General features: G+C 35.4%; 2 long non-coding RNA genes across 4 annotated transcripts in view; one reads left to right on the top strand and one right to left on the bottom strand.

Annotated features, from left to right (window-relative positions):
* The window catches only part of LOC105376604 (uncharacterized), a 46,463-nt gene that overhangs the window by 10,026 nt on the left and 21,846 nt on the right, over window positions 1-14,591 (top strand). Inside the window, exons 1-2 of one of the 3 annotated variants that reach the window (XR_007062637.1) lie at window positions 6,824-6,864; window positions 10,150-10,261. This is a non-coding gene — a long non-coding RNA (uncharacterized LOC105376604). Of the gene's footprint in view, window positions 1-6,701; window positions 6,783-6,823; window positions 6,865-10,149; window positions 10,262-14,591 lie in introns of those variants that run through there. The other 2 variants (XR_931149.3, XR_007062638.1) reach the window with 2 other exon arrangements.
* The window catches only part of LINC02742 (long intergenic non-protein coding RNA 2742), a 162,086-nt gene that overhangs the window by 133,319 nt on the left and 14,176 nt on the right, over window positions 1-14,591 (bottom strand). The window lies entirely within an intron of this gene.

The raw sequence follows: 14,591 nt of genomic DNA, 5'->3' as shown, positions 1-14,591 counted from the left end.
ACATTCTTTTCCCTTCAGGTGCACTAAAATAGAAAAGCTAAAAGCAGACTTAGGGGGTATGCCTTCAGCTGAAAAAAAAAAAAAATCTAGGAAAGAAACATACAACTCTCCCTCCCAAATTAGCACAGAAAAACAAAAACAAAAACAAAACAACAAAAAAAAAAAAACAGAGGCAGCCCAAGCCTCTAATAAACTCTCCCACCCTAAATCCTTAAAAACTATTAGTCTGTAAAAGAGTGGGCCTCTAACCTAACTCAGCCAGAAGCTCCCCTCATGTTTGTTTTCTCTAAAATAAACTGTCTTAACTGGCAAGCCACCTTTCATGTTTCTTTCCTTTCTTTAATTCTTACAAAATTGAAGCTATAGTTGAAAATACACACAAATATACACGTATACAGAATCTGAGATCTTTCACTAGAAACTGCTAGCAAACAATTACTACGTAATTCCAATCCTTTCCAAATTTTTCTATAACTCGGTGGGGAAAAAGGACACTCCCCAGTTTACCCTGTGAAGATGATATATGTTTGATACAAACCAAAAAAGAGCTGTGTAAAAGGAAAAAAGAAAAGAAAATTATCGAGCAATCACTCTCATAAATGTAATTGTAAATAATGAATATTAGGAAGCAAAATTTAACAATATATATAAAGACGATATTTCAGGATCAATTGGAACTATCTCATTGGCAAGTATGCTTTCACTTTTTGAAAAAATCTATAAGTATACTCTAATTTATTAACTGATTAAGAAGAATAAAGGATACTGTTTTCAAAAGAGATGACATGAGGCTTTAAATAAAATACCACATACCACATGTATTATAATAAAAAGCTTTTAACAAACCAGTAGTTAACCCATAGATCTACTGAAATACTTATAAGAATTAATATAGGTAAAAGCCTTATAACAGTGGTTGACACGAAGCATACTTATAAGCAGACACAACATTAAAGACCTGGTCAAGGGTACCTGAAGAATTCTAAAGCAAAATAATGCTGATTGCTTAAAAAACAAAATAAAACAAGAACAGAAAAAAAATTAGAAACTATTTAAAGATGCAGCTCAAAACAAAACGGCCACATTTCACTTCTTTCATTTAACATTGTACTATACAGGTATTAAATACCACTTTAAAAAAGCAAAAATTAAAGCCGAATATATTAAAAGTCCAAAAGAATCAGAGTGGCAGCTATTCACAGATTTCATGTACTTAGAAACTTCAAAAATAATCCAGAATTATTAATAATAAGGGAATTTAGCAAAGTTTGTGGTCATAAGGTCATTTCCCCAAAGTCAATTATATTTTTATATTAGAGCAAAATAATTAGAATATAATTTTATAAAATGCAAAAAATACATATGAATGAATATAACAAAACAATAAGAACATATTAATGAATCTAACAAATAGTATGCAAGATCTTTATGAAGACAATTCTAAAACTTTAGAGCAATAACAATAAAGAATAACAGAATAAACAGACTAATTATTTCCTTAGTTGGGTTGACTAAATAAAACATATCAATTTTTCCTAAAATGATGTATAGATTAAATGGAGTTCCAATAAAAATTTTAATAAATTTTTTCATGAACATTGAAAAGGTGACCAATTATTTTATAGAAATGCTGTCAAATTCAATAGTAATTGGCAAAATTTAAAAATTCTGACAACATCACAGGCAACAAAGTTATGAAACTATGGGAATGCTCACAAACTGTTGATAGAAATATAAATTGGTAAACCTAATTAGGTATTTTCTTGTAGTGTTGAATGTTTACATGTGTTATCACTCAGCCATTCTTCTGTAAAGAGGCTTATACATAGAAAGAAAACTTGCACATGGAAATAGGTACAAAAAAAATCATAAAAGCATTATTCATCAAAAATAAAAAAGAACACAAAACCAAAACAAAAATGGCCCCAAAAAACAATAGTTTAAGACGCTTTGACAGAATAAACCAATTGTGGAAAAAACTCATTCATTGCTCACTCTATATGGAACCTTTGCACAAAATCCAAGAAGAGTTCTCCCCCTGGGTCGATGATTACAAAAGGTATCCCTCCACTGGACTGACACTTGGAGTTTGTAAGCAGTAGCTTGGACTTGATTTCAGTCTCTACTTAAGCTGACACTCTCTGCCTAACAGTCTTATACATTCATATGATAGAATTTCCTGCACAAAGTGAAACAAACTATAGTCACATGTAGCAAAATGAACGGAACTTAAAAATATGGCCGGGCGCAGTGGCTCATGCCTGTAATCCCAACACTTTGGGAGGCCGAAGTGGGCAGATCACCTGAGGTCAGGAGTTTAAGACCAGCCTGGCCAACATGGTGAAACCTCATCTCTATTAAAAATACAAAAAAACTTAGCTGGGCATGGTGCTGGGCGCCTGTAATCCCAGCTACTTGGGAGGCTGAGACAGGAGAATCGTTTGAACCCAGGAGGCAGGGGTTGCAATGAGCCGAGATTGTGTCATTGTACTCCAGCCTGGGCAACAAGAACAAAACTCCGTCTCAAAAAAAAAAAACTATTAACTGAAAAAAGTGTACTGCAAAATGTTATGAATACATTATTTTTATACAGTCTAAAACATATACAACCAAACATACATTGTTCAGCAATATGTAATTACTTAGTAAAACTACAAAAAAAGCAAGAGGTGTATTAAGAAGAAAGTTTATAATAGTCTCAACCTCTACAGGGATAATAGGTGTGGGCTGAGAACCAGAGTTAACTTTACTAGTATCGATAACATTTTACTTTTTAAGTTGGGTCTTGGGTTATAGTTATTATGCTTCAAGCTTTGCCTCTATAACACATACAGTTTGAATATATCAAATATTCAATCAATTGCAAAAAAATAGCTGTAAGAAGAAAAAAATTAAAAATCTAGGAATGCTCCTAATGACATAAAACATTAGAGAATTCTGAAGAGACAGAATTAATGAAGAATTAACATCCATACTGGAGGCATTTCACAAAGAGAGAAAAGAGAAAATCAAGAAGAGAAACCGATACAATAAAACTTCCTAATGAAATTTTCCACAGTTGAACAGCAACAACAACAAAAAACCCCTACAAATTCAAGCATTAAAACATAGACTGGGCCAGGCATGGTAGCTCATGCCTATAATTCTAGCACTTTGGGGGGCCAAAGTGGGAGGATCACTTGAGGCCAAGAATTCAAGACCAACCTGGGCCATATAGTGAGACCTCCATCTCTACAAAAATAAAAATACAATAAAAATTACCCAGATGTGGTGGCTCATGACTTTAGTCCCAACTACTCTGGAGACTGAGGCAGGAAAATAGCTCAAGCCTAGGAGTTCATGGCTTCAGTGAGCTGTGATTGCATCACTGCATTCCAGCCTGGGCAACAGAGCAAGACTCTGTATTTAAAAGATAAAAATTAAAATAAAATAAACACATAGACTACCAAGAAAGGTAAAGTAAAACACTCTAACCCATCATTTTAAAATTTAAGAATACAATGAGAAAAAGAAAAGCTACTAAGGATTTACAGCAGAAGGGGAAAGGGGCAAGATAGATGAAGATGATAAGTAATAGAGTGAGCATCAGTTTCGCATTAAATTCTCATTACCCAAACTGAATTCAAAAATGGAAATAAAGTTCATAGAAAAAACAGTTTTGATTTGAAAACACTTCGTCAGACTTTCAATCAAGTGGTGAGCAAAATAAAATTATTTACAATTTATTCTTATTTTTACTTGAAGATATGTTTAAGCAAACTAAAATAAATGCTAATAAGGTAAATATTAATGAGAAAAAAGCAAAATTGAAAAGGAAGAACAGGTGCTACCTCAGGGTAGATAATTCTCCATCTATTATTATTTCATCTCTCACTCTATTTTCACTAGGCGAGGTTCTTTGACTATCTGCTCTCATAGCATACTCTATTGTTCCTTTGTGGTAGTGATCATATAATAAGTAAGTTATCATGAGTGCTGTTTTAGTAATTTTTTTCTCCTAGACTAGATATCAATCTTCATGAAGGAGGGACTGACTACACCTGTTATATTCACCATAGCAACTTTAAAGCATAGCTCAGAATTGAGCAGTAAACATTCAAAAATGCTTTTGAATAAATGAATGAATGCCTATAAACATGTTCACAAAAAATTCATTTCAACCAAGCCTCATCTTCCTACTGCTGCTAATTTATGTTTCCTCCTCCACTGCCTATATTCCGGAAACCATTATAACCCAAATATCTATGGGTATGTGTGACGCCACATGAACAGGTCTACTTCTTCCCTCCAATGCTAATCAGTTGTGAAATTCATTCTTTGAATATGCCCAGTTCCTCCAGGCCCAGTCTCAATTTAGTCAACTATATCATCGCCCATCCAAAATTTTAATTTCCTTACTTCATGGCAATGAAGTCTCAGTCTTGCTCTCTGTCTCTGAACCTATTCTCTGAGCGAACCCATGACATTCCTTGTGTATCCATGCAACCTACCCTTCACCCACATTTAACTTACATTGCAGCTAGTTTTACTATAGCTTCTGTGCACACTGATGGCATTCCACCTCCAGTGCCTGCCAAATCTTTCAGCTTTCTGCATCAGGGCTTTCTCTGAGCTATGGCTGCTGCTCAGTCCCCACTCTCAAGTATTTGGGAGTTAGTGACCCTGGGGAAACCTGGAACCACTAGCAGTGGTAGCCCTCAGCTGTCAGCCCTTTGTTGAGACCATTGTGAGGTGCTTAATATTTGCTTCCTCAGAGGGCTACCTGCAGCACAGGGACCCAAAGAGTCAGAGCCATAACCTTTATTGAATTCTCTTCTTTGCCTGTTGTGGTTGTCCATACCTTCTATCTGGCTTCCTAGGATCAGCTCCCAATAATCTACCTGTAACTCAAGTACTTATCTCAAGATTTGGTTCAGAGAAAACCAGAGATGAATTTCTAATGAACAAATTCAATGAATATATTTATATTCTTATCAGTTTTGCAAGATTTGACCTTATGCTTCCTTTCTCTATGAAATTTTCTCACCTTGACTTTTCTTACAATGTGTTTCTGGCCTGTTCCTACTTTCCTGATCCCTCCTTTGTTGACTTCTAGTTTTCCCTTTAAGCAGAGGAACTCTTACATCTGTTCTTAGGTGTCCTTGATTCATGTTCCATGAACTCTTCCTGTGTAATATCCACTTTCATGGGGTTAACAGTTACTTATTCATATATCAATGGCTATGGAATCTACTTAAACAGCTCTTGTCTCTCTAGAATTGTGAACACATATTTTTACTTGCCTGTTGTGTGTTCCCACTTAGATATCCCCACAGACACTTTCTTTAAAAAATTAGGCTTTCACTCTGTCACAGCCTAGAATGCAGTGGCATGATCATAGCTCACTGTAGCCTCCATCTCCTTAGGCTCAAGTGATCTTCTTACCTCAGCCTCATGAGTAGCTGGAACTACAGGCATGTGCCATCATACCTAGCTAATTTTTTTGATCTTTAGTAGAGACAATGTCTTGCTAAGTTGCCGAGGCTGGTCTTGAATTCCTGAACTCAAGCAGTCCTTCTCCCTCGGCCTCCCAAAGTGCTGGGATTACAAGCATGAGCCAAGGACACTTAATTCTCATTTACCTATAACTGTATTCATTATATTTCTTTACCTCAAATATGCGTGTCTCTTTCTATACATGTTTTCTGACCTAATGTCCCCCATCATCCACGTTCTTACCTATTCTTGCCATTCCTCTTTTTTCTCATTTGCTATAGAAATCATCTCTATAAATTCTATGTGCTTTCTATATATTATATAAGTATATATACACACATAGCATATATATTCCATTTACATATGCATTATATATTTATATATGCCATATCTATATTCCACACATATATATGGAGTGTGATTGTGTGTGTGTGTTATAACATTCTTTCTGTCCCTCTCCTGCCTAATGCCTTCATACTACTTCATCTGAACTATTACGAGAGCAACCCTAGTCACACTGTTTAATGCATCCAGGATGCTTCTATAAGAACTGATTTTCTAAAATCAAAATATAATAATGAAAAACTACTGCTTAAAATTATTACATCATGTCTTAGCATTTTTTCATTTATTATACTAATTCTTTACCCAGGAATTAGGAATCTGGGGAAAATGGTGCAGGTAAGTAAAATCTTATGATTGGTATAAATGTGGCTGTTTGAGGAGGAACAGATAAAGTGTAATACCTGAATGATGACCCAAGAAACAAGCAAGTGCAGGCACCTAGGACTTAGGTGGAAAGAAGTTTTCTAAAGGCGAACGTTTATTTCTGAGTGAGCTATTTTTATCATAGCTGTCTCTAAGAGATGAGATTTGTAAAGATACCTAATAAATACTGCAGATTAAAAAATTAAATCATACCAATGGTTTTCATGTTCCTGGGTGAATGACCAAATGACATTTGCAATATACTCTTCAATATTATAGAATTTTTCAAGAGTAGATTATTCTACTATGTAAATATGTAGATGGTACTGTGTAAATGGTAAGCCAGTAAAGAATCAAGACTGACTTTTCTTGCTTCCTGCGTACTATAAACAGATTTGTTTGAAATACTTTCATTCCTTTTTATTCAGCTCATTTCTGATCACTGCCCAAGGAAGGTAGTTAAAATAGGCCATTGACAGAGTGATAACACTTATTTTCTCAACAATGATCTTTGGTAGGTGATAAAAATGCTACTTCCCTTGTAAAGAGAAAGGGCAGCTGCCTACAAAACAACAGTGATCTTCTAAGGTGTGAGCAAAAGAAAATGTATTGTGCAATAAATCTATGAAGCAAGGAGTTATTTCAGGACTACTTGATGACGCCAAATGTGGTCTTTTGAAGGTCAGCAATTTCGTGATCCATGTTATTAGAAATTTCAAGGAGTACTGCAATATCATAATCTGACTTTTTAAATGTAAATTACTTGGTTGGTCTTTACAACTAAATTAAAAAATAGTTTAGGGCTATATCAATTGCTCCCCATATTTGAAATTTCCAGAATTGACTATAGGATACAAGTGAGAGAATCTAATGAGAATAGATAACAATATTTACAAGACCTCCCATTGACTACAGGATAAAATTCAGATTTCTTATCATGACAAATATGTTCACAAACTGGCAGCTACCTACTTCTCCTAGCTCATCTCTAGCATTCTCAACATACCACTCAGCACCCTACAAACATGCACCCAATGTCTACAATACCTACAACATTATACTTCCATCCACTTGTTACTGTAGCAATGTCTTACTGTCATTCATTTTGTGAAAGTAATTTCTATTAATTCTTCAAGGTGTGAGAAACATGTAACTTCTTTTGTGAACTCTTCACAGTGACTCTACAAGCAGTATACAACTTTGTATATGTCTACCTGTGATGTAGTCATTACCATACTATTTACATGTGATCAGCAACAGCACAATTGCACAAATGATTTTCAAGCTCTTTTCCCGCCCAAATCACCCTTATCCTGACTACCCATTTGGAATTTCTTTCAGTGCTTTAAATGTACCTTGCTGAGTCTCAATTCTCTCTTACCTTAAATGTTTACTCATTCCTGCAGGGCTCAGCTTAAAAGTCAACCTGGCAAGAAGTCTCCCTTTATCTGTAGACTAAGTGAGATTAATTTGCTCCCACATTCCCAAAGGTTCTTTCAGTCTCTATTATAATGCTATTCATTTATAATTATAAATAAATAATAAATCTCTCCTTTTCCATTTATGTCCAAGTGATAGAAATATAATTAATTTCAATAGTAAGTAAGTATAAGTCCACTTTGTCTTAGAAGGTGATCATATTAGGATTCACTGGAGGGTAAAACAGGGCTCAGGTAAGTACTAGGGACAAAAAAAATATGCCTTAAATAGTATGGTTTCCCCTAAGTGGAAATAAATATAAAGTTGTATCCCATTGTATCAGATTCATGTGAGAGCTATGAGAAATCTGATTATGATAAAACATGAATTAATGCTTGCTATATGCAAGATATCAGTTGCAAGTACTATAAAAATAGGTTTGTTTCTTGATTCTAAAGAGAACGTCTACATAGGGCCTTTTGTTTCTCTCAGCTGAAGTGGCCACCTGTGGCTCTCAAGCCTCTTGATCAGAGGTTTGTTTGAAGTAATGAATCAGATATGCGGGGATCAATTTCCAGAACCAGATAAGGGGGAAGCAAACTGGTTAACACTATGTTGGTGTGAGGCTGCCAAGTGGCAGACAAGCAGCTGGCCATATAGAACAAACAGAAAGACTGCAAAACTGTAAGGCAAAGTGTAACAGCTGATGCACATTTGCACTGTTGATTGTTCCTTGGGCCCAAGCCCAAAAGCTAGTCCCCTGATAGAGAAGCTACCTTTGGACAGTAATCTTTGCTCCAGTAAAGTGATGGGAAACAAGAAGCTTTCTCTGCTGGGATGTCCATGGTGTTGCTTTGCTTCTTTGGTCCATCCCCCTCATCTGGCTTGTATTTTGGAGAACTGGCAGGAAAATAAGGGAATAGAGCTATTTAAAGATCCAGGAGTGCTGGTTAGAGTATAAGGAAATGTTATGATTAAGCTGTTGTGCAAGGATAGGGGCAAATGGTAATGAATCTTCAGGGAATCCTGAGGATGGAGACTTTAGGCTCCTTAAAAAAGGGCTAAAGATTTGGCCTCAGACAATCTAGCAGGCCGTTATGACCCCATGCACACTTAAAAACTGAAGAACAAGATGAGAAGAAAGAGAAAAAAGAATGGAGAAACATGAAGGGAAAGGGAGAATCAGAGACATCCTAAAATAATGCATTTACTCAACAGATATTTTTGAAGATCCACTGCGTGTATACACAGTATGTCCTTATATTAGGTACTGATGGTCAAAAGCCAATTGAAATTCTCATTTTCAAGGAAATCAATCTCTAGAAGGCAAAAACAAAACAAAACAAACAAAACAAAACAAGGTTAGAAAAATAGATAACTACAATACAAAATTATACGGATCCAAAGTTATATGGGCCATATATTGCATAAATAGCAAGAAAGAGATGATTACAAGGGGTCCTATAACATGAAACAAGAAGTATAAAATTACCTTACCTGAAAATCTAAGTTACTCAAAAAAGGTGAAGAAAAATAAAATTTGATGACTTGTGGATGGTAGTTTGCAAGGTTCATGGTTTTCCAATAGGTATTATGGAAGGTTTTGTTTTGTTCCTATTCTGTGAAAATATGCAAACTTGGGCAATAGATCAAACTCAGAAATTCTTCTATCTACGCTTTATTTTTAAATATAAGCTTGAAACACATCAAAATATCACTTAATTATCAGATTTTCTAATGGTGCCTTATTGTGGCATTCCCACTTATATTATGTCAGATAACATCTGTCACGAAGAAGAGCCATTGATGATCCACTGTTATAAAGGCTGCACTTTGGGGAGGAAAGTAACTTTTGCTACTAGCACTAACCAGCTGGTAAATTATAAAGCAAGAAAGGAGATATATTTCAGTAGCTGTGACAGATGTAACATCACATCTGAACCACAAGAAAAAGCCATTTAAAACTATTTAAAAGTTGGAATGCCAATAATAATTTATCCCCTGGGGTGACAAAGAAGGGGTGAGAAAAGGGAAAAGAATAAGAGAAATAAGGCTTCAGTGGCTTATTCCACAAACTAACGTGATAGATTTTTTTTTTCTTTTGGCTCTGGTTTCTCAATAGCCATATTGTCATATGATTACTAAGATCAAAAGTATTTATTTTAGAAGGACGAAAAGCCTATGAAAGTTGATTTTTAAACTTATGTTCGGATTTTAGTCAATGCAATATTTACATTGTTTGATCCACTATGAAGTGAATCAGCAATACCTCCTTTTAAACAAGGGTCAGAACAGAGGTCCGCTTGAATGAGGAATTTTGCATAAAAAGAAAAATAGGAAGCTGGATAAGAATAAAATATTTTTAAGGTTTAAAATAGTGGTGCTAACTACCTGATAAAAGATGGAGAAAAAGGATATAATGGGGAAAGAGGAATCCATGAAGAGAGAGATAAATTGTATTTTCCAAAAAGTTTAATTGGTTAACTGGAGATGAGTTAAGAGTGCTTTGATGTCTTTCACAGGTTCTAAGTTTGATGTCTTTCACAGGTTCACAGGTGCTGTGATGTCTTTCACAGGCAATGGATAAAGCATCCTGCATTGTCCTAGGCACACTCTGTAGGGAAGATATGGGAATCTGAAGTCAACTTTGCCAAAATTGGTAAGTGAATAAGGTAGAATATCATCAAGATCTTGCCCCAGGTGATCTGAGAGTTCTACAAGGGCTCCCACGGTTGGTTTGCTCTTTGAAACTTAAGGTTCTAACTCTGAAACACAATAGCATAGTGGCAAAGGACTCAGGGTCTGGACTCAGAAAAACCCAAGTCATAGGCTAAATCCTAGGCTCTATCATTTGCTGGTTATGTAACTAAAAGAAAATTAGTCTATATCAGTTTCCTTGCATAAAAAGTGGTGATAACAACAGTTACTATTTCATAGAATGCAACACATGTAAATATGAGCTTTTATGTTTATTCTTACTAATGATAGAAATAATGATATCCAAGTCAATTGGACTTCAAGTCATGTTTTGCTGTGAGAAGTATGGCAGTAGCTTACTACATTATATTGGATGTCATAACAGTATAAACTGGATAAGAGTTGCATCATATTAAATTGATATACCATAGTACTTCCTGATCCATGGGGGATATGCTGCAAGAAGCCCAGTGGATGCCTGAAACCATGGAAGAGAATCAAGCCCTATATATACTGTTTTTTTATACATACATACCTATGATAAAGTTAAACTTATAAATTAGTCACATTATGAGATTAACAATAACTAATAATAAAACAGAACCATAACAATATTCTATAAGAAAAGTTATAGGCATGTGGTAATTCTGTCTCTCAAAATATCTTATTGTACTGTGCCCACCTATTTTAGGATTACCTTTGACTGTGAGTAACTGAAACCATGGGGAAAAAAATGTGGCTTAAGGGGGACAACTGTAGTTGCTTAACAGGGAACTTGACTTAGAAAATGAAACAGAGTTATGTTTTAATCTCATGAAAGCATAATAATAATGGATAATGTTTCTGAGCTTATAATTTTTTATTCGTGTTGTACTTCATCTGGAGAAATATTCTACAGATAAAGAAATTGGAATTGAAAGGAGCAAGTTAATTATCCAGAACCACACAGCCAGGATGCTGTGGAGGTGAAATTAAACCCAAGCCTTCTAAGTACACGTGTCATATCCCTTCCTTGTAAATTCACTTAACAGCCATCATCATATCAGTTGACTATTGCTCTGTAACAAATCCTTTCAAAACTTCAGAGGCTTAAAATAATCAACTTTTTTGTTTTCATGATACTGGGTTGGATGGTATGTTTTTTAGGTCTAGGCAACTTTAACTGGGGATCGATGTTTTAGGATGGCCTCGCTCACATAATGAAAGTCTGGTTGGACTAGGAGGTCTCAGCTGAGATGGCTCACCTCTGCACCATCACTCAGCAGGCAAGCCTGTGCTTTTTCGCATATCAGTCTCAGGGAGTCAAAGAGCAGTAAGTGAGCAAGCTACAGCACAAGAACTTTGCAAGCCTCTGCTTGTGCCATATGTCTCACTGTTCCGTTGGCTATAACACGTCATACAGCTAAGTCCAGGGTCCCTGAATACAAGGAGGTATGAAAAAATTAAAGGATTCACAGTAAACATGCCAACATTTTAATATCCCTTAGTTCTGAGTGGTAAGAGTCTAGGTAATTTTTTTTTATTTTTTCTGTATCTTCCAAATTATCCAAAATGAACATTACTTTTGTAATATCAAAATAGAAATTTCTTAAATAATTTAGAAAATCGGGCCATTTTCTGGAGAACCACAAGTCCTGGTTGCAAGCTCATTTCTTTTTGAAATGGGAATTAAGACTTCTTTTCTCTAAACCACAACAGATAATGTTACTGTTAGTGTTTCTCAGGTTTCTCTTTTGTCTTTCTCATCTTATTGCTCTGCTCACTCTTCCAGTATGATCTCATGAATTCCTGTTCCCTCAATTATAATTTACATGCTGATAACTCCCAAATCCATACACCCAACAGAGTTCACACACAAGTGCCTCTGACCTGTTTCTCCAAATGCCTGCTGGACATATGCGCTTGGATGGGCACCTGCCCACTCTTAAAAATGCAAATGTGATTGTTACCATGCTCTTTCCTGTTTAAAACTACTTCCAGGGTCTAATCTTGCCCCCTTCTTCCATATATATTTTTTTCTGTCTCTCACTCTCATTCTGCTATGCACACCTTTCTTGTAGTTTTTTGGAAGTTTTCTCCCCAAAGTTTTTTCAGAGCTGCAAGCTGTCTTTTGCCACAAGCCTTCTTCATACATGCAGTTTTCTGGTGTTTGAAACCCCAGAGGTACCTTCCTGTATTTTAATAACAGCATTTTTATGATCTTGGCAAAAGCATCAACTTCAAACCAGTCAAATCGGTTAGGTTCCCAAGTTTTAGACCATTTATCTCAGGATGTTACTAGAAATGATCAGCTCCTTTTTATCTTCCATATTTCAGATTAAATGTCACTTCCTCCTAGAAGCATTCCCTGATCACCCAGACATGGGTCACATGCCCTTAAGTGTTTTGAGAGTACCCCAAACTTCTTCTGCTACACAATTTATAAGACTATATTATAATTTTCAGTAAAATTTTCTGTGCTTTCTAATTAAACTATGATATTGGACCAAAGTTAAGGGCTATATTGGTCTGGTTTACCCTGGTATTATTCCCATTCCCTAGAAGAATGTGTGTGATATGAATACATATGATATATTCAGTAAGTTACTTTATTTGCTCAACTAAAATATTCTCCTTAATACATATTTTATTGGAAAGAAACATTGGTGAGAAAATGACAATAAAAACATGTCATATAAATCTATTTATAATTTTATTTGAATAGTTCTAGGGGTATACGTGGTTTTTGGTTACACAGATGAATTGTGTAGTAGTAAAGTCTGGGCTTTTAGTGTACTCTTCACCTAAATAGTGTACATTGTTCCTAACAGGTGATTTTTTTTTTTATCTCTTATCCGCTCACTTTCCCACTTTTGAGTCTCCAAAGTCCATTATACCTAACTCTATGTTTTTGCCTATCTATAGGTTAACTCCCACTTATAAGTGAGAACATGAGGTATTTGGTTTTCCATTCCCAAGTTACTTCATTAGGATTATGGCACCCAGTTCCTTCCAAGTTGCTGCAAAAGACATTATTGCATTCTTTTTGGCAGCTGAATAGTATTGCATGGTATATACATATCACAATTTCTTTGCCCACTCTTAGGTTGATTCTATTCTGTGCAATTGTGTACTGTGCTGAAATAAAAATACATATGCAAGTGTCTTTTTAATATAATGACTTATTTTCCTCTAGGTAGATACCTAGTAGTGGGGTTGCTGGATTGAACTGATCTACTTTTAGTTCTTTGAAAAATCTCCATTCTGTTTTCCATAAAGGTTGTACTAATTTACATTCTCACCAGCAGTGTGTAAGCATTCCTTTTTCACCACATCTGTGCTAACATCTATTGTTTTTTGACTTTTTAATAATGGCCATTCTGGCCATGGTAAGGTCATTCTGCTTTTAATTTGAATTTTCCTAATGATTAGTGATGTCGAGAATTTTTTCATGTTTGTCGGCCATTTGTATATCTTCTTTTGCTAAATGTCCGTTCATGCTGTTTGCCCACTTTTTAAATTAATTTTAATCTTTATGTTAATTTCTGGGGTACGTGTGCAGGATGTGTGGGTTTGTTACATAGGTAAATGTGTGCCATAATGGTTTGCTGCACCCATCAACCCATTACCTAGGTAATTAAGCCCAGCATGCATTAGCTATTTTTCCTAATACTCTTCCTCTCCTGACCTCATCCCTTGGCAGGCCCCAGGTGTGTTGTTCCTGTCCTCGTGTCCATGTGTTCTCATTGTTCAGCTCCTACTTATAAGTGAGAACATGCGGTGTTTGATTTTCCGTTCTTGCATTAGTTTGCTGAGGATAACGGCTTCCAGCTTCATCCATGTCCCTGCAAAGGAAATCCCATTAAAAAGTGGGCAAAGGACACAAATAAACACTGCCTACTTTTTTATGAGATTATTATGTTTTTTCTTGGTTATATTTTGAGTTCCTTTTAGATTCTGGATAATAGTCCTTTGTCAGATGCACAGTTTACAAATATTTTCTCCTATTCTGTAGGTTGTCTGCTTACTCTGTTAGGTCTTTTGTTGTGCAGAAGCTTTTTACTTTAAAGTCCCATTTATTTAATTTTGTTTTTTTCTTGTATTTGCTTTTGTGGTCTTAGTGATAAATTATTTGTCTAGAACAATGTCCAGAACAGTTTTTCATGGGTTTTGTTCTAGAATCTTTTCAGTTTTAGCTTTGAGATGTAAGACTCTAATCGATCTTGAATATTTTATATGGTGAGAGATGAGGACCAGTTTCATTTTTTCTGCATGTGGCTATCAAAATTTCCCAGCATCATTTATTGAATGTC

This window comes from Homo sapiens, chromosome 11 (genome assembly GCF_000001405.40).
Source record: "Homo sapiens chromosome 11, GRCh38.p14 Primary Assembly".
Classification (NCBI taxonomy): Eukaryota; Metazoa; Chordata; class Mammalia; order Primates; family Hominidae; genus Homo; species Homo sapiens.
The sequence above is the reverse complement of the archived record's forward strand: the minus strand, read 5'-3'. Positions and strand labels throughout refer to the sequence as shown.